The sequence below is a fragment of the Homo sapiens genome, chromosome 15, assembly GCF_000001405.40.
Source record: "Homo sapiens chromosome 15, GRCh38.p14 Primary Assembly".
In the NCBI taxonomy this organism is placed as follows: domain Eukaryota; kingdom Metazoa; phylum Chordata; class Mammalia; order Primates; family Hominidae; genus Homo; species Homo sapiens.
Window position 1 is genome coordinate 71,561,206 of NC_000015.10, and position 21,689 is coordinate 71,582,894.

The 21,689-nt window shown below is 39.9% G+C and overlaps 1 protein-coding gene across 9 annotated transcripts in view, besides 1 other annotated feature; it reads left to right on the forward strand.

The window, feature by feature from the left end:
* THSD4 (thrombospondin type 1 domain containing 4) overlaps positions 1-21,689 on the forward strand; it is a 686,490-nt gene that overhangs the window by 464,312 nt on the left and 200,489 nt on the right. Inside the window, exon 2 of one of the 9 annotated variants that reach the window (XM_017022584.2) lies at positions 13,565-13,618. The exons of the other annotated variants lie outside the window; for them this stretch is intronic. Within the exon in view, the coding sequence (XP_016878073.1) occupies positions 13,565-13,618 (54 nt within the window). The remainder of the gene's footprint in view (positions 1-13,564; positions 13,619-21,689) is intronic. 9 annotated transcript variants of the gene reach the window in all.
* Positions 11,505-11,799: an enhancer, noted in NCBI's record as "tiled region #7020; K562 Activating non-DNase unmatched - State 23:Low". NCBI's record gives its function as "activates a minimal TATA promoter and a strong SV40 promoter by Sharpr-MPRA in K562 cells {active_cell/tissue: K562}" and the evidence as "EXISTENCE:reporter gene assay evidence [ECO:0000049][PMID:27701403]".

Consider the following 21,689-nt stretch of genomic DNA (forward strand, 5'->3'; position numbering starts at 1 on the left):
CCTCGTGATCCACCTGCCTCAGCCTCCCAAAGTGCTGGGATTACAGGCGTGAGCCACCGCACTCGGCTCTCTTTATCTTTAAAATGGGAGGATCATGTCAATATCGTAGAGTTTTAGTGAAGATTAAGGAGGTGATTTCCGTAAAGTGTTTGGTATGAGAATATGCTCAATGAATGGCAGCTATCACCATTATTAAAAAATTGATCTCTCAAGCCTAATGGAGAAAGATTCTTTATATAGACTAAGGGAATTGTGAAATCTGTGAGTGGGTATTTGTCCAACTGAAGTAGAATGCAAAGTGAGAAGAATGAGAGGGAATTAATATGGAGTTGGGGGTGAGGGCATCACCCATGAGAATAAAAAGACAAACATGGGATCCTAGAGAGGGGAGGTATACAGTCAGGAATCCGGAGTGTAGCTCCAAATTCCTTAACCAAATCTGATGACCCACAGGCTCCGATTGGAGAGAAAGGAGAAGAAAATATGTAGGATGCTTTAAAATGGAATGACAGAGTGAGCAGTTGAGAAAGAAGAAAGAGCAAAAACCAGGATTTCCAAAGCTACAAGTGTCCATACCCTCCCAGGTGGAGAAGGAAGGGCTGGGAAGTCACTGGGATTTTCTCAGCAAAGGGTGGACCCAGGACTCCTTTTAAAATAAACACACACACACACACACACACACACACACACACACACACACACACACACACACACAAACACTCACTCACTCTCTCTCTTCTCTAGAGCCAGAAAGTGATGTTAAGCACCAAATTCCAGTGTCTTGAATCATTATTTAATAAGGAACCTCAGAGATAATCTAGTCTAACCTACTGATTTTACATATGAGGATAATGAATTTTTTGGAGGTTATGTGGCTTGCCCAGGACCACACAGTTGTTTAACCCAGACCTGGAGGGTGAATGGTCTAGAAACAAAATAATCTTCACACACCCAGTTGTGGCTTCTGAGACCTTTAGGCAAGGGAAAGCTTGGGGGTACTTGGAAGAGAGTATTTGTGGTTTTAAATCAGATACAGTTTAAACCAGGTACATTAAATGTGTTCAAAGCTATTTGTAAGATACCTCAGCTGTATAGTTTGTTCTGTCAGTATGCTTGCGCTATAGAGATGGTTAGTTTTGTACATCAACCATCTGAGTGTGTTGGAAGGTGGTAGGAAGGGAAGGGAAGGGGTGAAACCATGCCTCCTCATTAATCAACTTATCATATTATGATTCATCAACATATTATTTGCAGAGAGCCTACCATGTGCCAGGCATTATTCAAAGTGGTTCGCATATATGCCGATAAGCCAGACAGACAAATATCCTGACCTCACGTTCTGACACTCTTGCTCCTGGAAGTGTAGCAGAAAAGCAGGAACCTGAGAACTGCCAGGGCCTAAATGTAATGTTATATCCGTTTCACAGTTCCTGCTTCATGCCTATTCTAAGTCCCACCTCTTCCAGAACACCTAAGCCTACCACCTTTGGTCCTTTTTTTTTTTTTTCTTTTCTGAAACGGAGTTTGGCTCTTGTTGCCCAAGCTGGAGTACAATGGCGCAATCTCAGCTCACTGCAACCTCCACCTCCTGGGTTCAAGCAATTCTCCTGCCTCAGCCTTCTGAGTAGCTGGGATTGCAGGCATGTGCCACCATGCTCGGCTAATTTTTTGTATTTTTAGTAGAAACGGGGTTTCGCCATGTTAGCCAGCTGGTCTCCAACTCCTAACCTCAGGTGATCCACCCGCCTCGGCCTCCCAAAATGCATCTCTGGTCTTTAAATGCCCTTTGCTGTATATTCTATAACATCAAGTCTCAGATCTGGTTTGACCTCAGTTGGCCTCTTAATAGTTTTCCCCTATGAACATTCTGGTCTCCCAGTAAGCCTGTAAGCAGCTGAGACTGGGAAACCATCTCTTATATCCCACATCGTCCTATGGTGCACAGCGTTGGACACATGATGCGTGAGTACAGCGCATGTTTAGTGAACCTTTACATCACCACACTGGAGCAGAAAAGCTGTATCATGACTGATGAGGACCCCCATCAGAGGCAAGAGGCATGGTGGAGTCTTGCTGGAGGACCCACTAGCAAAACCACTCTGGAAATCTCGGATAGTAAAGACTCTGTTAGTACCCTGAAGGCCGCTTACTTGGAACCGTATCTTCTAAATGCTCTGAAAACCTATCCAAAGGCAATTAAAATCACAAATATCATTGAAAACATCTAAGAACTACGTGTAAGCACTTCGGGATAGTCAGGTAAAGGCGGCCCTCTAATTATGAAGCATTTTGATAATTAATAGAATTCTAAGCCAAAGCTTAAATCCGGATACACATCATAATGGTTAAGCCAAATAACACTTAATCATTTTACCTTTTATTATTGATAAAGACAACACACTGAAGTAGACAGACAGTAAAGAAAAAGTCCACATCTTTTTATTGGGTCCAAATAACCTGATTGTAAATACTTAGCCTCTGATTTTCATGTTTCAGAATTTGTATGTTAATGACCTTAGTAGATGTGGCTTTGTCCAGCCTCAAAAAGGGTTGCTCTCCAGCCAGGGCCCCTTTTTTCCAGTTACTGCTCCCATCTCCTTTAAGTATATTCAACTGGTGAGTGAACTCTTTATCCCGTGTGACAAATGCGTATTGAGGCCCTAACATGCCCCAGACCTCAGATGTGCTGCTCATACATTTGAGGTAGCCCTGACTTGTTTTGGGGGTGTGGGGGTGGGCTTTTCCATCAGTTGTCTTGGTTGATGTGCCAGTCAGCCAATTCCAAATTGCACTGAGTTTTCTTCATTTTACTTTTGTATATTAAAAACTAAATAGTTTTTTGCAGCATCGTAGAATAGATTAGAAACCAAGACTTCTGTTTCACAATTTATAAAATTGGACAAATGTATTGTCAGTGATTCTGCAATGTTTCTGCCCATTTTTCCCTCTTCAGGAAGTTGTAGAGGTAAGATGCCCTATTCCTGCTATGCTTATGTTGGGCATTATACCAGAAACTGAAGATTCAAAGGTGGGTCCCCACTCCTAGAAGCCCTTCAAGGGGCAGAGGTTCCCAGAGAGGACCATAATCCAGTGTGAAAACTGTTGTACTGTGTGTGGATCAAGTGTCATGAGAACCCACGTAACAGCATGGCTGATTCTGCTGAGGAAAGTCAGGGAATGTTTCACAGCAGAGAGGACATTCAGGTTAGGGCATGTTGCCTAAGTAGGAGTTTCTCAGTTGAAGAAGATTGGAGGTGGAAGGGGAGGGAGGTAAACTTCTCAGGCAGAGGGAAAAGCAGGTGCAAAGGCAGGAAGTCTGTAGAAGTTCAGATTCCATTACCCAAAACCCTTGAGACTCAGATGTGTTTCAGAATTTGGATTCTTTTGGATATTCCACATATTGTACATTATGCGTAATACAATATATATTGTATATTATAACATATAATACAATATATAGTATATTATAACATATAATACAATATATAGTATAACATATAATACAATATATATTGTATATTATAACATATAATACAATATATAGTATAACATATAATACAATATATATTGTATATTATAACATATAATACAATATATATTGTATATTATAACATATAATACTATATATTGTATATTATAACATATAATACAATATATTGTATATTATATAACATCCCCAGCAGGTTCTAGTCAAATACATGAATATATCCAGGACAAAAAGGTTAAATAGTCATACTAAATGGGATAAGGAAGACTATCAATAGTATCACATCAATTAAGTCATGTTTTGTGGCCAAATGAGTTTGAACACCAAACTTACAAAGAGAACAAAAAACAACAACCAAAAGAACACCTTAGGTTTTTAAGCCTTTTGAATCTTGGAATCTTGAATACAAGGACTGTGGCTGCAGGTCCAGCAGATTTCTAGAGCTAACTCTCATTAAGCTGACTGAGGTCACATGCTCATCCCTGACCCAGTGGAGATAAATGTGCTGATTGCCAGGCTGAAGTCCTGGGCACACCCTAGAATGGCAGGATGCTCAGCCTGCCAGGATCACAAAGTGACCTCAGAGTGCTGTTTGCAGGAAAATGGACACTTAGTAGGTAAAAATCATAAGCGATAATTATATATGCATCACAGATGTACCCACATAATATTGACTGTGTAATGCAGCCCAGAGCAGAACCAGGATTCAGACCATCATCTCTCCTATTCCAGAGCCCACATCAGATTAGGCTGCTCACACATCAGTGGAAAACAGTCTGCCCCATGTAACCCACTGCTCAATTATGTGATACAGACAATTAGAACTTAGCAAAGTACATAATAAGTTGCTAATTGCATGGAGTACAGTGCACCCATTCGTTGAAATGATTTAGAGAAGTAAAAGACTTTAGCAGGCTGGAAGGATGTGTTAGAAGTGATGGTAGAGACCTTATCCCTCTGATTTCTGCTCCAGGGACTCTCTTTTTTTAAGTTTAATTGCAAACAAACACTGAACTTGAGGAGGGAAGGATTAACAGGCAGATTTTCCTGGGCCCTGAATGAACCTCTGAAACCACAGGACATAAATTACAGAGGAATGGAAACAAGGGGGAAGCATCGTCTAATTTATTGACAAGGGAAGAAAAGCAAGGGAATCATTAAGGGTTAGAGGCTCTAAGCCAGCTTCTGAGGTGCTTAGAACAAAGTATGATGATGGCAGACAGAAGTAAGTCTCTATGACCTCATGAAGGACTTGTTTCTCTGCTTTCCCAGAGGCTCCTAGAATTGAAACCAACTAAAGACCTGAAAGGGCACTCCAAGTGCATCTGGCCCAACGCTCCCTGATTTTAGTTACAGGAAATCCGAGGCCCAAGGAGGGGAAAAATTTGATAAGGTTACAGCTTAAAGAAAAATAATGACTAAACCATTTCTTTTCTTTCTTTCTTTTTTCTTTTTCTTTTTTTCTTTTTTTTTTTTTGCTGAAATTCGGTAGTGAATTCAAGTTCTCTTAAGGCACAGTTATTCTATAACAATGCGTGGTTTGGAGGTTGTGTGTTTTCTCTTTACAGGGATTTAATAAAATAAAAATGCAAACTACTTTTGAAATAGCTATAAGTAAAAATACCCAGAAGTCTGTGGTCAGAGGCAATGTCCATGTATTTCCTTAATTCAGGATCAGCCCACAGATTTCAACACCAGTACTTACTGAGCATCTACTTTGTGGTCAGGTGTTAGATACTCTCCTTTAATCTCCACCAGAGCCCTCTGTGACAGGGGTTGTGGGGGTAGACAGATAACTAGCTTGCTGAATATAACTTGTTAAAGGGTGGGGCTTGGAGTCCTCAGCCATGTTGAGTGATACCGTGCTGCCCCGAGAGTTTCTGTGCTGTAGATCCTGGTCTCTTGGACTGTTTTCCCCATAATTCCCCATCCCTACCTTTCCTACCCTGCAAGATTGTGTTGGATATAACTTGCTCACTAGGCCTTCAAAGGCCGGGTCATTTTCCCCCCTGGTTTATAAATTGGCCTCTTATCCCAGGGCCCCCCCTCTTTCCCCCTGCTCCCCGCTCCCCCTGCCATTCCCACTTGGTCATCACCTTGAGAGATCTCCAGACATTGGCATTTCTTTCCATGGGGCACCTCCCTGTCTTTTCACCCTGAGTACTTAACTGGGATTCTTTGAAAAACACATCAGCAGAGAGTACTGTCATTTTTTTTTTTCCCTAAACACTTAAACTCACATAGGTGTGGAAGTTTATGCCAAGGAATCTTGGAACCAGAAGGGAGCAAGGGACCAACCCTCTCTCGTTAGAGATTTGGAAACTGCAGGACAGATAGAGTAATTGGCCCAACTTCGCATAGCAACGCTAAAAGTTAATTTATGAAGTGGACCCCTCACTCAGAGCAGTGCCCGGATAGCTGTGGCATTCATAATGTGGAACTGCCCTCGACTGTACTGGCGGACCCTATAAGAGGCAGCACGTTGCAATCATGGTGTTTCCTGGAAGCATTTTAAGACCCCTGTTCACTAGATCCCAGAGAGGTCTTTGCTTTAGTTTGGGTTCCCCCAGACACAGCTGAGCCAAGGACCTGAGTGCCAGTGGTTCCTTTGGCAGGTGGTTCTACTGGTGAAAACACCAGCAGAGGACAGAGGAAGTGAGATAGGAAGGGAAGCGGCCTGATACAGGGGTGTGATCAAGCCAGTAGCCACTGTGGGCACCAGAGCTGAATCCTGCTGGAGACATCTAGGAGTCAGTGAAGCACACACCTCAGAATTACCCAGCAATGAAGCAAGGAAGCAGGCATATTTGTCCACCAGCTCCTTTTTCATTGTTAGTTGAGTACCGCTATAGGAGCATTACCTCTTTAGCACTTCCAACTTGCTCCTGGACAAGAACAAAGACACCCCCCCACACACACACACACACACATGAAAGAGAGTCACAGTGTTTCTAGCAAACTGCCTTCAGGAGCTGAGAGAGGAAGGAATGTAGCAGTGCATGGGCAGAGGATCCACAAGAGGAAGCGCCATCAGCGGTCAAAACCAGGGAAGCCAGAACAGCTGGAGAGAGAAAGAGAGAGAGAGTGTGTGTGTGTGTGTGTTTGTAGGTGTGTGTGGGTGTGTGTGTCTGTCTTCCCCATGAATCCCATCATGCTTGCTTCTTGATTTTGTCCATTTGGAAGCTCAGAACCAATTTACACCCCACCTCTAGCTGTTGGATAAGACCTTAAGGGAATGTCATCTCTTCACCCACCTTACCCTTTATTTCTCTTATTTATTTCCCTTCTGCCTCTCTTTCTTTGTATACTTATTATTATCCTGTTTGTGCCTTTGAAAGTCCCCTTAAGTTCCTTTCTTGGTATAGGATGAGTATAAATAAATACAAAAGCCAATTACACACCAAAAAGATACAAACTTGGGACTAGTCACAAGCATCTGCCACACTGCTAGCTCTTCTCTAGTTTTACCTCAGAAATATTTTTTTTAACGAGGACTCCCTGGTCTTCACATGAAGGCCCTGACTGCATGGGAAAACCACAGAATTCTTGCCCATACATCAACCTTGCATTGAGAACTGCAAATAAAGCAAAATGCATGTTTTCTTCAAAGTGGCCACAGAGACAGATGCCCATCATCCCCACAATGCTACAAAATAGGATGCAGCACATGGGTGACATGATGAGAGGTCCTTGAAGGCCAAGTAGGATCCCGGGATTCTATTTTGCTGAATCAGGATTCAGGATCCCATGATTCTGTTTTGCTGAATCAGGATTCAGGACCTTTTTCAAAACAAGTAAAACAGAAAAATAAAGTGCAAGTACCAACAGAAGCAGCCTCCAGAACTTTTAATTGTTATACTCTTACCTCTTTTTCTCTTTTTTTTTTTTTGTTTTTTGTTTTTCTTTTTTTAATTATACTTTAAGTTCTAGGGTACATGTGCACAACGTGCTAGTTTGTCACATATGTATACATGTGCCATGTTGGTGCGCTGCACCCATTAACTCGTCATTTACATTAGATATATCTCCTCATGCTATCCCTCCCCCTTCCCCCGACCCCACAACAGGTCCCGGTGTGTGATGTTCCCCTTCCTGTGTCCAAGTGTTCTCATTGTTCAGTTCCCACCTATGAGTGAGAACACGCAGTGTTTGGTTTTTTGTCCTTGCTATAGTTTGCTGATCTTTCTCTCTTTTTTAAGAACAATCTTTAAAATGTTTCCTCCTATGCATGATTTTTGTTAACTTTTTTACTGCTTGTCTATAGAGTATATGACAAATTTTCTTTAATCAGCATGTATTACTTTAAAATGGGGAGAAAATGAAAAAGTGTTGTCTCATCTGAATATGTTTTTACCATAACATCCCCCAAAATGCCTTCTTTTCTAAAAATAGATGTTTTGCTAGAAGCATCCAGGGTAAAATGTGGCCTGCCACTCAGAAATCTAAAGTTTTAGTTGTTTTCTTTGCTGGTCAGGAGCCCTGAAGCAGCGGAGATTCTGCCCTCTGATATTCATGGATGTGAGTGCTGACCCACACGGAGGCTTTCTTTGCTATTTGATTTCATGTTTCAAGGGAAATGTTAAGTCAGATGTCACTGTTAAAGGGAAAGAGGGAGGAAAAGAAGAAAGAGAGAGAGAGAGGGAGGGAGGACAGGAGAAAGAAACCATATAAATCTAGAGTCCAGTCTTGTTTGTTTCTTTATTTGGCCCAGTGATCAATAATGTATTGACTAAACATCTTTCAAAAGTTATTTATTTATAATGCCTTCATTCTAAAAAGAATTTAAAATAATGTTTACAAATGTAGTGAATAGAATTTACAAGAAAACAAATAAGGGAGGAAAATGGAGCAAAGAGGAAACTGGGTAGAAAAAATAGGACATGAGTAAGACTGGTGTCTAAACTCCGTGCCTTTACATCTAACTAGAGATGTGTCAAAAATTTTACTGTGAGCTCCCTAGCAGCCAAAGCAAAGAAAGAAACAATTGAATGTGTAACTCATAGGTAAAAATAAGTGAAAGGCTGGGTGCGGTAGCTTAGGCCTGTAATCCCTGCACTTTGGGAGACCAAGTCGGGCAGATCACTTGAGGTCAGGAGTTGAAGACTAGCCTGACCAACATGGTGAAACCCTATCTCTACTAAAAATACAAAAGTTAGCTGAACGTGGTGGTGTGTGCCTGTAATTCTAGCTACTCAGGAGGCTGAGGCAGGAGAATCACTTGAACCCAGGAGGCAGAGGTTGCAGTGAGCTGTGATCGCGCCACTGCATTCCAGCCTGGGCGACAAAGTTAGACTCTATTTCAAAAAAATAAAATAAAATAAGCTGATTTATTTATTTATTGAGTTAAGTAAGTTGGGGCAATAAAATAAAGCGGATAAAATATATTAGCCCTTTGACTCAAGAAGTCAATACCACTTTTTATGAGAACAATTAATAACACCTAACATCAGTGAACACTTCTTATATGCCAAGCACTAACCTAACCAATGTAATTATGACATAAGAACACCATGCATCAGGTAAAGCCAGTTATATTTTAAAAGTAGAATTTGGGGTTTACAAATGGCTTTCTCGTTTGTGTTGTTACTTAATTGCTCACAACAACCCTATGAGAGATATTGGTCAGGAAAATATTTTTATATGAGGAAAGTAAGATCACATTTCTAATCATTGTTGCACCCGGAATATAAATCCAGATTACTCAGATATACTTTTTTTTTCTTTTTTTTTTTGAGATGGAGTCTTGTTATCTCACCCAGGCTAAAGTACAGTGGCGCCATCTAGGCTCACTGCAACCTCTGCCTCCTGGGTTCAAGCGATTCTCCTGCCTCAGCCTCCCAAGTAGTTGGGACTCCAGGTGCACACCACCACGCCTGGCTAACTTTTTGTATTTTTAGTAGAGACGGAGTTTCACCATCAGATACACATTTTACACTACTTCATAATCTGGGAGCAAAACCCTGGTGATGGGAATATGGACATTTGGCTTTAGGATCTTAAGCTGAGTTTGTTCAGGTGAGTTGTCTACTCCTGGGCCTGCCATTAAGTGGCTGTGTGGTGTTGGGCGAGTCCTTCTTCTCCCTAGAGTGGCAGTGTCTTCAACTGGAAAATAAGAAGGTTGATGACTTGTCTGGGAAGATTCATTCCAGCTGTGACAGCCTGTTCATCTCTGGGTGTCTGTGGCTCCAGGCAGTTTCCCAGACTACACTCCAGGGTGTTCCCAGTCATTTTCACATTAGCAGTTGCTCTGTGGTACAGACGTGGCTGCGCCTCTGTGGATCATTGAACCTTCACCATTGCCCCAGCCTGCTTGGGGCTAGGGTGTGTGGGCTGTGAATTAAAGGCTGTGAGACGTCAGAACTCCCTATGAGCCTGAGGTGTCCTATGGGGCATTTCCACCGTGTCGGCGGAACATGTTTCATTGTTCCTTCCTTGATACTTTGTCTTCCATAGATTTTTTGAAGGGATTCAAAGTGGAAAGCACCAGAAGTTGGAACTAGACCTGCTGAAGAACTCACTTTTTTTTTTTTCCTTTTAAAACTTCTCTTGAGCCCAAAAATCACATGGACACATCTTGAATTCTTACAAGTTAGCCGGGTCTCAGTGAAAGGGCTTCCCTGAGGGGTAGAATGCCGCATGCTCGTTTCCTATGCCTAGATAAATAAACCCTGGCCCAGGCTTTAGGCTCCAGGTTTGTTTCTGGCATCCCTTTGCCTGAAAGTTTCTGTGTTGAATAAAACAGAAATGTTTAGCAAATCCCAAGAAATTCCTTATTTAATGGAAAAAAGAGATCCCTGGGCTTATATTTCAAAATGTGATTTCCATGTTCCCACTGCATTAAGGCAAGGTCGCCTCACCAAATCCCCAGATGTCTGGTATGCTTTTCGAAAAATGCCTGTATTTAGCCCCTAGAACACATTTTGAGTACCTATTGTGGACAGGATTCTCCTCTGAGCCCTGCAGGAGATAGAGCAGCCAAATGAGATGGAAACCCTTCCTTCAAATTTAGTTGTAATGGTTGCATTAGAATCTATAGGAAGTCTCACCTTTACCTACAGACAAGCTTTATTCCCCCACGCTGATCTTTTAAACTGTACAATATTGCATCTCTGTGTGGCCATCTGTCCTCCTTCATGACAATGGGAGATTCAGCTGCTGGGGTTGGCCACAAACAGCTTATCTTATTAGCTAACCTACCATGTATGAGCTGCCTTGGCAATATCCCTATTAATTATATTTTCTTTCTTCAGCATCTTAGAAGAGTGGGGTTTTTCATTTGCTTCATGTCTCTGCCAATCCTAACCTCTCTCTCCTAAAATGTTTATTTATCTTTTGTTATAAAAGTAGTTGATGTTTATTGTTGACAGAAAGAGAGAGAGAAACAGGGATGGATATTGCAGAGAAAAAATTTTAAAAAGCTATTTATAATAAAATAAAATCCTACCACAACAAGCTTATTGTTGTTTATATTTTGGATTTACAAAATCTTTAGCTATTTATCCTCAACCCTTGCCAATTATGTGAATTTCCAGTTGGGTGAGAGTAGCTATATTAAATAGTGAGCAGTTTTCCTGTATCATTAAATAGTCTTCAAAACCTTGATTGTTCATAGCTGAATAACATTTAATACTATGGGTGAAGCAATTATTTTAATTGTTTCCTTTGTGCTGGGATTGTAGATTGTTTCTATCTTTTTACTTCAAACTCACCTGTAGTAGTGGCTGTTGCAAGGTAGCCACTTACACAGTATACCACTTTCTTCCCTGCATGCTGGGAACTGCACTGCATGCTGGAAAGCACAGCCTGGCACTGGGCTGGCTCTAGGGTAAAGAAAGAAGAGACACTGGCTTGCCCTCAGGGAGAGGGGTGGGGAGCTCTGGCGCTGGGCATGTATCATGTCTACTAATGTGATACTTAATATTAGGAGCCACCCCCTTGAAGACAGCGGAGTCCAAAAGGGCTTGCTGAGTCATCAAATACTAAGTTGGTTCAGCATAATCTTAGGATTCTGTGTGTTTTATTTTCCAAGTCGGAAAGTAGGGTTAGGGGTGGGGAGAACACTCTCCAAGAGAAGCTGACTCAAGCTACTTCTCAAAGAACAAAGTGACACACAGGAAGGAGGTTGGTTGGGAGGGGAAAGGAGAGGTCATTCCAGGAAAGGCAAACAATGTCAAGAAAGGGAGCCTGGCAGGGTTAGGTATGTGCCAGGTCTTTGTTCTGGCCTGAGTTTAAGATACCTGGGAAGGCATGCCAGGAGCTGTTCCTGGAGAAGTCTGTAGAGGGCATACCCTGAGAGGCCTTTGATGCCCCACCAAGGAGGACGACTTCATCCCAAAGACTTCGTGAGGCTGCTAGGGGTTACACATAGAGGCCTGAGCTTGGCAGACATGCACTTTGGGAAATACACTGTGGCATCTGCAGGAGGGACAACAGACTTAGGGTTTCTGGGGAGAGTTGGTGGGTGAGGAATCCGAGCCTCCTAGGTACAGGAATCATGACTTGTTTACTGCTCACCCAGGGCCTTGCACAGTGCCTGACATGCAGTAGGTGCCCAGTATTTATTAAATCTGGGAAAAGTTGTTAAACGAATCCAGGCAGGGAATGCCAAGGGTGGTGGCAGTGAGAATAGAAGATAGGGATCCTCTTAGAAAGACATTTAGGAGGGACGTGGGTGAAAATTTTTAATCTGAAATCCAAGGACCGAAGAAACTTCATTTTTTAGTGAAGCGCAAAAACTAGAAGGTAGCTTTGAAAAGGCGTTTGACTTCAGGAACCAATTGGCCAAAGGAATGTTTCTAGACCTTTCAAAACTTTAATCTGTGCTTTGTGAATTACACAGTTTGGTTCTATTCAATAGTTCCCTTTTTCCCTCAAATGCCACCTGTGAAATAAGTTAAACACCATACTGTTTTAATGTAAAAATATTTCCTCAAATCCACTGTATAAATTAATTACTCTTTGGGGAATAGGATAATCTAATTTCCCTTCTACAATGTGCTCCATTCATATGCTCTCCATTGCTGTAGAGGTAGGTTATGAATCAACTGTTTCTGAAGGATTATGAGCTATAATAAATGTCAATATGAGCTCTGATTGATTTCCTGCAGCCTCACTAGTTGTGACTTCATTTAGTAACTTAATACTAATTGTGTCGCTTTGATTACTTTGATTTTAGCTGTTTCCCCAGCACCTACTGGAGTGTCTAGGACAAGCAAGGATTCTAATGAATGTCTGTTGAATGAAGGGCTTTTAATCTTTTTAAAATGTTCCATAGAGGATTTTAGAGAAGTCGGAGTGAATGCCTGCAGTTCAGATGGGTATTGACTGAAGAGGCGAAACCATAATTTCAATTCTTGAGAAAGTAGCGCAGAACTTCTCTAGCTCACTACTGTATCGCAGTACCTCAGTGCACAGTAGACAGTCAGTGAATATTTGCTGACTGACCCTGTATTGTAGTGTCTGATGGTGAGCCACAGCCCTTAGTTCAAGTATATGCCTTAGAGAGTAATGCATCCCTTCATGTATGCATTCAACATTTATTAAGCCCCTATTGTGTGTCAATGCAATGGCAAACATTTATGATAGGCTCAAGTTTTGAACCTTGCAACAACCCTGGTAGATATTATTGTCATCCCCTTTTGCTGACAAGCAAAATGAGGCTTGGAAACACTAAACTATTTTTCATATAATTAAAAGGTATGCTGACTCCCTCATCTAGATCCTCATGATACCTAACACTAAGTTTTGGAAACACTAAACCAAGATCATATAATTAAAAAGGTACCATCCATCCAATTAAAAAGGATCCATCCTCACCTGGATCCTCATGGTACCAATAACTGGGTCCTGAATCTCCTTTCACTAACTAAGTCAGCAGCGATGGCTATGAAGGTGGGCATTAGGATGTCAAAGGGACTGTCACACATAGGTTTGCATCTCTGGCATCATGCTATGTGACCCTGAGCAGTCCGTTTGTCTGTCTGAGCCTCAGTTTGTAGTGCCCAGGTTAGAGGTGATACAAGACCTCTAAACATGAGGTCTTATATCTCATACATGACCGTGATCATCTCTTCACAGGAGGAGCTTCAAAGTCACATTTCCACAGGAATTGATATGGAAAGGCATGAACAGGTATAGCCATTTTTGTAATCTACCATAGCGATTGCCTGAAACTGTTACAATCTAGTCCATTTCTCTAGATATCCTGGAATATGTTCTGACCAAGCAGGACTGGCAGAAGCTGCATACCTGGACCACAGCATTATAGTCTTCTGTGGAATTACCTTTATGCTTGGGGCTTTAGCGATGCATCAGCCGTATATAGAGGAAGTTATAGGAAACCGAACTCATGCATCTCACTATCGTATTTACTACCAGCTTGTTGCTGAGGGCATTGTTCATTTTACTGCACCATGGGAGAGATTACTCTCTTGTCTCAGCACTAGGCAAACCTAGACTTCTCTAAAGCTGGGCTTGTTTGGTTTTTTCAATTTTATGGATTTGTAACTTAGGAAGCCAATGGATTTCTCTCTTCAAGTTGTCTGCTGGAAAGCTTAAGGCTGAATATGTGATCTACCACCAGCAAATACAAAGACCATGTGACATGTATTTTGGCACTGATTTCACTTTTAGCTTCATATTATTATTCCTTTAAACAGATCTCATCTGTACATACTTTAAGTTTTATTTTGTTTTAGTGATGAGCAAAAACTAGAAGGTAGCTTTGAATTGCATACTTTGTAAGTTGCCTAAAATCCTGTTTGAATACAGTAGGTGATAAATAAAATCACTAAAATGAATGAACAAGAAGAGTACCTTCATATACCCAGAAATGCACTGGAAATCGGGACATTTTGTTTCTTCGTCTTTAATAAGTTGTGTTTGAAGTCCTACATTGAGCCAAAATTCATACCTGGAAACTGAATTCTAGAAAGATTATTTTGGAAAGCCTGTAGTTACGTGTATTACCACTAGATGACCTTCCCTCATTATTGTCTCTAAAGTGGAGCTGCTAGTTATATGGACTTTCCAGAGGACTGTAGGAAATTTATGAATAATCCCTCTAAAGCAACAACGACAACAACAACAAAAAAGTCTACTTTATATGGTGTTGAGTGTACAAATATTTGGCAAAGGAATGAAAAAAGTTAGAAAGTTGTCTGTCTGTGGGCTAGGCTCTGCCTGCAAGATACTTACAATCTAGGTCAGAGGTTCCTAAATCCTTCTCAATGCCGTTTGCACTGGCCCTGAGGAAAGTGTGAAAATGAAGACTATTGTAGAGTCTTACATGAAGCTAAATTTGTTCATTTATATCACTTCTCTTTTATTATGAGATTATGTCCTCTGCAGTTTTTTGGTATTAAAATGTCTTTTATGAAAGGATAGTAAGAGTTAGATAGTAGTCTTTTTTGTGGAAAAAAAAAAAAATTGTTCTCACTTGACAATAAAAAGTGGACAAATCCATGGAGCCCTCAAAATTCTTTTTGGAAATTTTGTTCTATAAAATCCAATATTCTGAAAACCTGTGGTTGAATAAGAGAAAAATATTTAGTATAATCTTTCTCAATACATTTGCATGCATCAGGACCTTAACAGAAAATACTACCTGTTAGCATTTGCAGTTGAGCTCCTATTAAAAACCATGTTTGTTTGTTTGTTTTTAAAGATGTTTAGGAAAACAGTTTAAGGAACATTCTCCTTCCTCCCCTCTCACTGGGAATTCTGAATCTACTCTTTGAGCAAGTCAAAATACTTGGACCTCAGCTCAGGCCCCTCTACACGTCACCTCCAGAAAGCTACATTCTGCTACTATGTTCTTAGCTTTTATGAAAGATGAAACAGCCAATTAAAAATCTACTTCTGCCTTCATTTTGTTTTTTGTTAGGACAGTCATGTACATAGTACATACTATGAAATTATGTCAGTTTGATTGACAACCATTTGATTTTACTAAAACTCTGCCTCCTGAATTCAAGTGATTCTCCTGCCTCAGTGTTAAGGACACTTTCTCTTATATCACACAGTAGACGTTAAGGAAATTTTAGTATCCTTTCTAATTTCCTTTGAATTTATCTTTTCTCCCCCTTTCAGATAAAAAGATAACATGTTACCTTTTTTGCCTTGGCTACCAGTGGTCTCAAAGTCAGGTGTTGTACTCAGCCAGAACAGCTTTGTTATACCCTTAAGCTTGATATCTTTTCTGTTTCCTGGTTTCTTCCATTTTTATCAACCTTATAATGTCTTTTATTCAGAGCTCCCAAAAGCCTATATTGGAGTGATATACAATTACTTTTTAAATAAATAGAATGTTTTATATAATAAATGGTATTTTTGGAAAGTACTGGATTATGCAGTATGAACTGTAAATGTCTCCAGAGTATATTACATGATTGTCCTAACAAAAAAAAAAAAAACCTTTAGTACTTTATTAAGTATTTCTCATATTCAAAATTATCTCACCTGTGTGCTGAACTAGACTGTAATTCCTTTTGTGGAAGGAAATTTTGTTTTGTATGTTGTTTTAAATCTCTTGCAGTTTCTCTCGATCAGTGCCAGGACATCAGACATGCTCAATGAATACTTGCTGATTGACTAATCCACTGATCTGTGTGTTCTGGGGGAGTTAGAAAAGCTTTCCTAGAGGAGATGCAAAGAGATGGCCAGAAGACAGGCTGTTTGCCACTCTAATCCTTGGCTTCTCACATGTTAAACATGATGGCTAAGGTCTCTAACTTTCTGGGGCTTGACAGTTGTAAAATACGAGGAGGATAGGAGACTGTGAGGGGGTGAAAGCCAGTTTTCAGATTCACAGAGGCTGGAAATAAATTTGGTATATGGGGAAGCTTTGGAGATGGAGAAATGCTTTCGAAACTGTGAAGTACATACTATGAAATTATGTCTCTTTGGTTTACAACCATTTGGCGTTACTAAAACTTTCACTTGATGCCCTAATTCAGCTCTAAGGGGTCTGTCTTGGCATTTATGAAAGCCATTGTGGACTGGTGCAACCTTTATTTATTTATTTTATTTTATTTTATTTTATTTTTGAGACGGAGTCTTGCCCTGTTGCCCAGGCTGGAGTGCAGTGGCATGATCTCGGCTCACTGCAACCTCCACCTCCTGAGTTCACGTTATTCTTCTGCCTCAGCCTCCCGAGTAGCTGGGATTACTGGCGCCCACCATGCCTGGCTAATTTTTCGTGTGCGGTTTTAGTAGAGGTGGGATTTCACCATGTTGGCCAGGCTGGGCTCAAACTCCTGTCCTCAGATGATCCGATGGAGGGAGGCTGCTACTCTCTACCATTTCCTGTGTGCCTCCACTGTGGCCTCAACCCTGGCAGTTAAAGCCACTGCTCCCTTCCCCTACCTGGCATGTGTGAGCCCTTCTCACTGGATTTTATACCCTTGTGTCTGTGTACATTATCGATCTATATAGTATATATATACATTATATCTATCTATATAGTATATATATTCATTATATATATAATGAATATATATACACACAATTGATAAATTGAATATATATATAAACTCTGCACTGGTGCATCTTGTAAGCGGCAGTGTAGACTCCAGGTGGTTATCTTGGCAGTGGGGTAGCTAGCACCAACATCTGGCTGAGTGCCCTTCTTAACAGGTGACTCGAGGTTTGCTAATTTATAGCAAGGATGATGCTCATTATGATGTCAACCTGTTTGATAAGTGTCATGTCATTTGGATTCTGCCATTGATTTCTTTTGACTTTATTTTTTTAATGGTTAAATTATATAAACTTTGTATAATGTAATCCATAAACATGCTTTGTGACTTTGTGACTTTCTTTTTTGGTGGTGACAGGATTTCGCCATGTTGCCCAGGCTGGTCTCAAACTCCTGAGCTCAGGCAATCCACCTGCCTCAGCCTCCCAAAGTGCTAGGATTATAGGCGTAAGCCACCACGCCCAGCCTATAGTATACTCTTAAGTGTACTCTTCTTAAGTGGCCTACGACGAGCAGGTAAACAGCCATTCGATAGACTAAATAATAAATAGAAAATACTTGTTTAGGTTATATTGTGATAATATATGATAGTAAATAATGAACACTGTTTTAATGATATTTGGTGTTATCTTTGCATACATTAATTTGACTTGGGGGACTCTGGACTGCATTAACTTTTTTTTTTTTTTTTTGAGACGGAGTCTTGCTGTGTCGCCCAGGCTGGAGTGTAGTGGCACAATCTCGGCTCACTGCAAGCTCTGCCTCCCGGGTTCAAGTGATTCTCCTGCCTCAGCCTCCCGAGTAGCTGGGACTACAGGCACCAGCTATCACACCCGGCTAATTTTTTGTATTTTTAGTAGAGATGGGGTTTCTACGTGTTAGCCAGGATAGTCTCGATCTCCTGACCTCGTGATCCACCCACCTCAGCCTCCCAAAGTGCTGGGATTACAGGCGTGAGTGCATTAACTTTTTAATCAAACTAGCAGTAATTATGTTTTCAGTTTAAGATAAGTTGCCTTTATAAATTTGGGGATAAATTGGATTTAGGTAAGGCAGTGTTATTACTTTACTTCTTTTGTATTCTCCATAACAGCTGGCTCTTCATGGTTGTACAGTAGCTATTGTTAACTTGCTTGAGGCCAGCTGTGTGTGAGCATTACCGAGAGCCAGAATGTCCTCCTGAGAAGGGGCTCCTCACGCCTGTTCTCATGATCATCTGCGTAGCAGAAGCCTATGGAGTTCCGATGAGAAAGGGAACTGGAAATCCCTTTGAGTAAACAAGTCCCCAGAAGAGGGAGAGCATAGGTGTGAAAAATAATAATTCTACCATCTAAATTCCATTTCTCAGCCTTAGTTAACACAGGTCAGAAGATCTGTCATTTGATTAAAGTCACTTCCCTGGGACTGAGAAAAGATTGCTACTGTACTCTTGAAGGGTGATTCTACTCCACTCTGTAGTAAATGCCTCCACATGGTAGATCCCCTCAAATTGGGTCATGTATCTCTCCTCTGCCCTCAACCCTTGGGTTTTATTTCCCATTTATAGCTTTCAAAATATTGGAGACACCATGGTTTGGAAGGTAAAACAATAGCAATGAGAGACACCTGTTTATAAGTAGAGCAATTAAAAACCTAGCTGGTGACCAAACCTGCCCAACTCTATGTATATTAGTTTTCTATCACTATATAACAAATTACCACAAATTTAGTGGCTTAAAACACATAAACGGTGGGGTTTTTTTTTTGAGGAGGGTGATGCTCAGCATCGAATGACGAATTTGTCATTCACCTAGCATTTATTAAGCAACCACAGGATGCAAATTACACTGTGACTAATTGGAGATATTAAAAAATCACATAATAATATCCTGCTCTTAAGAAATTTGTGCTTTCCCAAGAGAGAGTTTTCAAAAAAGAATACATGTAATTTGTACACAGCAGGCAGTAAGAAGTATAGATGTCATGCTAGGATAGTTCCAAGGAGAGGAAAATTATTTCAGGGAAATGGGCATGGTGACCTGCGAGCTGGACTTGAAACGCTAGAGAGATATGGAGAGATGTAGGCTTTGTCTAGACTATAAAGTAAGAAGTGACATTGGGAAAGAAGTTAAATCCTTAAATGGCAGACTCTAAGGCGGTTAGGCTCCAGAGTCTAAGCTTTTCTTTTTCCAGATTTATTGACATATAATTGACAAATGATAATTGTATATATTTAAGGTATCAAATGTGATGTTTTGATATATATATACATTGTAAAATGATTACCACAATTCAGCTAATTAACATATCCATCACCTCACATCTTTGTGTGGGTGTGTGTGGTGAGAAAATGTAAGATCTACTCAATTTCAAGCATACAATACAGTATCATTAACTATAGTCACCATGTTGTACATTAGATCTTCAGAAATTATTTATCTTGTGTAACTGAAACTTTGTACCCTTTGACTGACACCTCCACATCTCTCCAACATGAAGTTCCACCACCAAGGCCCTGGTAACCACCATTCTACTCTCTGCTTTCATGAATTCAACTTTTTTTACATTCCATCTATAAGTGAGATCATGCAGTATTTGTCTTTGTGTATCTGACTCATTTCACTTAGCATAATGTACTCCAGGTTCATTCATGTTATTGCAAATGGCAGGATTTTCTTCTTTTTTAAAGCTGAATAATATTCCATTATATACATATATATGTGTGTGTGTATATATCTACTTATATACACATATGTGTGTGTTATATATATACACACACACACACCCCATATTCTCTTTATCCATTCATCCATCAATGGACACTTAAGTTATTTCCATATCTTGGCTATTGTGAATAATGCTGAAATGAACATGGGAGTGCAGATGACTCTTCAAGGTAATGATTTCATTTCCTTTGGATATATACTCAGAAGAGGGATAGCTGGATTATAAGGTCATTCTATTTTTAATGCTATGAAGAGCCTGTATACTGTTTTCCTTAATGACCATACCAGTTTGCATTTCCATCAACAATGTACAAAGGTTTCCTTTTCCCCACATTCTCACCAACACTTAATCTTTTGTCTTTTGGCAGTAGTTATTCTAACAAGTGTGAGGTGATGTTGGATTCTGGTTTTGATTTACATTTCCTTGGTGATTAGTGATATTGAGCATCTTTTAATGTACCTGTTGGTCATTTGTATGCCTTACTTTGAGAAATGTCTATTCTGTTATTTGATTTTTTTGCTACTGAGTCAAGCCCCTTATATATTTTGGATATTATATTCCTTATCAGGATATATGTTTTGCAAATATTAGCTTCTATTCCATAGGTTGCCTTTCCATTTTGTTGATTGTTTCATTTGCTGTGCAGAAGATTTTTAGTCTGATGCAATCTCACTTGTCTGTTTTTGCTTTTGTTGCCTGTGCAACAAAAAAATATTATTGCCTGGACCAGTGTCAAAAAACTTTTTTCCTCTTTTCTCCTGGTAGTTTTACAGTTTCAGATCTTACACAATTCAGTCTTTAATCCATTTGCATTGATTTTTGTGTAGAGATAAGGGTTTGATTCCACTCTTCTGCATGTGGACATCCAGTTTTCCCAGCACCATCTGAGAGACTATTCTTTCTCCATTGTGTGTTCTTGGCACCCTGGTTGAAGATCATCAGTTGACTGTAAACGTGTGGGTTTATTTCTGGGCTATTCCGTTCCATTGGTCTATAAGTCTGTTTCTTATGTTCATACCATACTGTTTTGATTACTGTAGCATTATAATATTTTGAAACCAGAAAGTGTGATACTTTCAGCTTTGTTCTTGCTCAGGATTGCTTTGGCTATACAGGATTTTTTGTGGTTTTATTTGAATTTTAGGATTGTTTTTCAGTTTCTGTGAAAAATGCCTTTGTAATTTTAATAAGGATTGCATTGACTCTGTAGATCACTTTTGGTAGTATGGACATCTTTAATTCTTCCAATCCATGAATGTAGATCTTTCTATTTATTTGTCTTCTTCACTGTCTTTCTTCAATGTTTTATAGTTTTCAGTGTACAGATCTTTTACCTCCTTAGTTAAGTTTATTCCTAAGTATTTCATTTTTGTAAATGAGATTGTTTTCTTCATTTCTTTTTGGATAGTTCATTGTTAATGTATAGAAGTGCAACTGGTTTTTGTATGCTGATGTTGTATCCTGCAACTTTATTGAATTTGTTTATTAGTTTTAACAGGTTTTTTTGTTAGGGTCTAGGATTTTCTATGTATAAGATCATGTCATCTGCAAACAGAGACAGTTTGATTTTTTTCCTTTCGAATTTGGATGCCTTTTATTTCTTTTTCTTGCTTACTTGCTCCAGCTAGTAGTTCAGTATTATGTTGAATAGAAGTGGCAAGAGTGGACATCCTTGTCTTGTTCTTGATCTTAGAGAAAAAGCTTTCAATTTGTCACTATTGAGTATGGCTTTAGCTGTGGGCTTGCCATATATAGCCATATTATGTTGCGGTATATTTCTTCTATACCTGATTTGTTAGTTTTTATCATGAAGGATGTTGAATTTTGTCAAATGCTTTTTTCTACATCAGTTGAGAGGATTATATAACTAACTTTAGTCCTTCATTCTGTTAATGTGGTATATCACGTCTTGATTTGCACATGTCAAACCTTCCTTGCATCCCAAGGATAAGTACCACTTGATTGTAGTACATGTTCCTTTTGATGTGGTTTTGAATTTAGTATACTAGTATTTTGTTG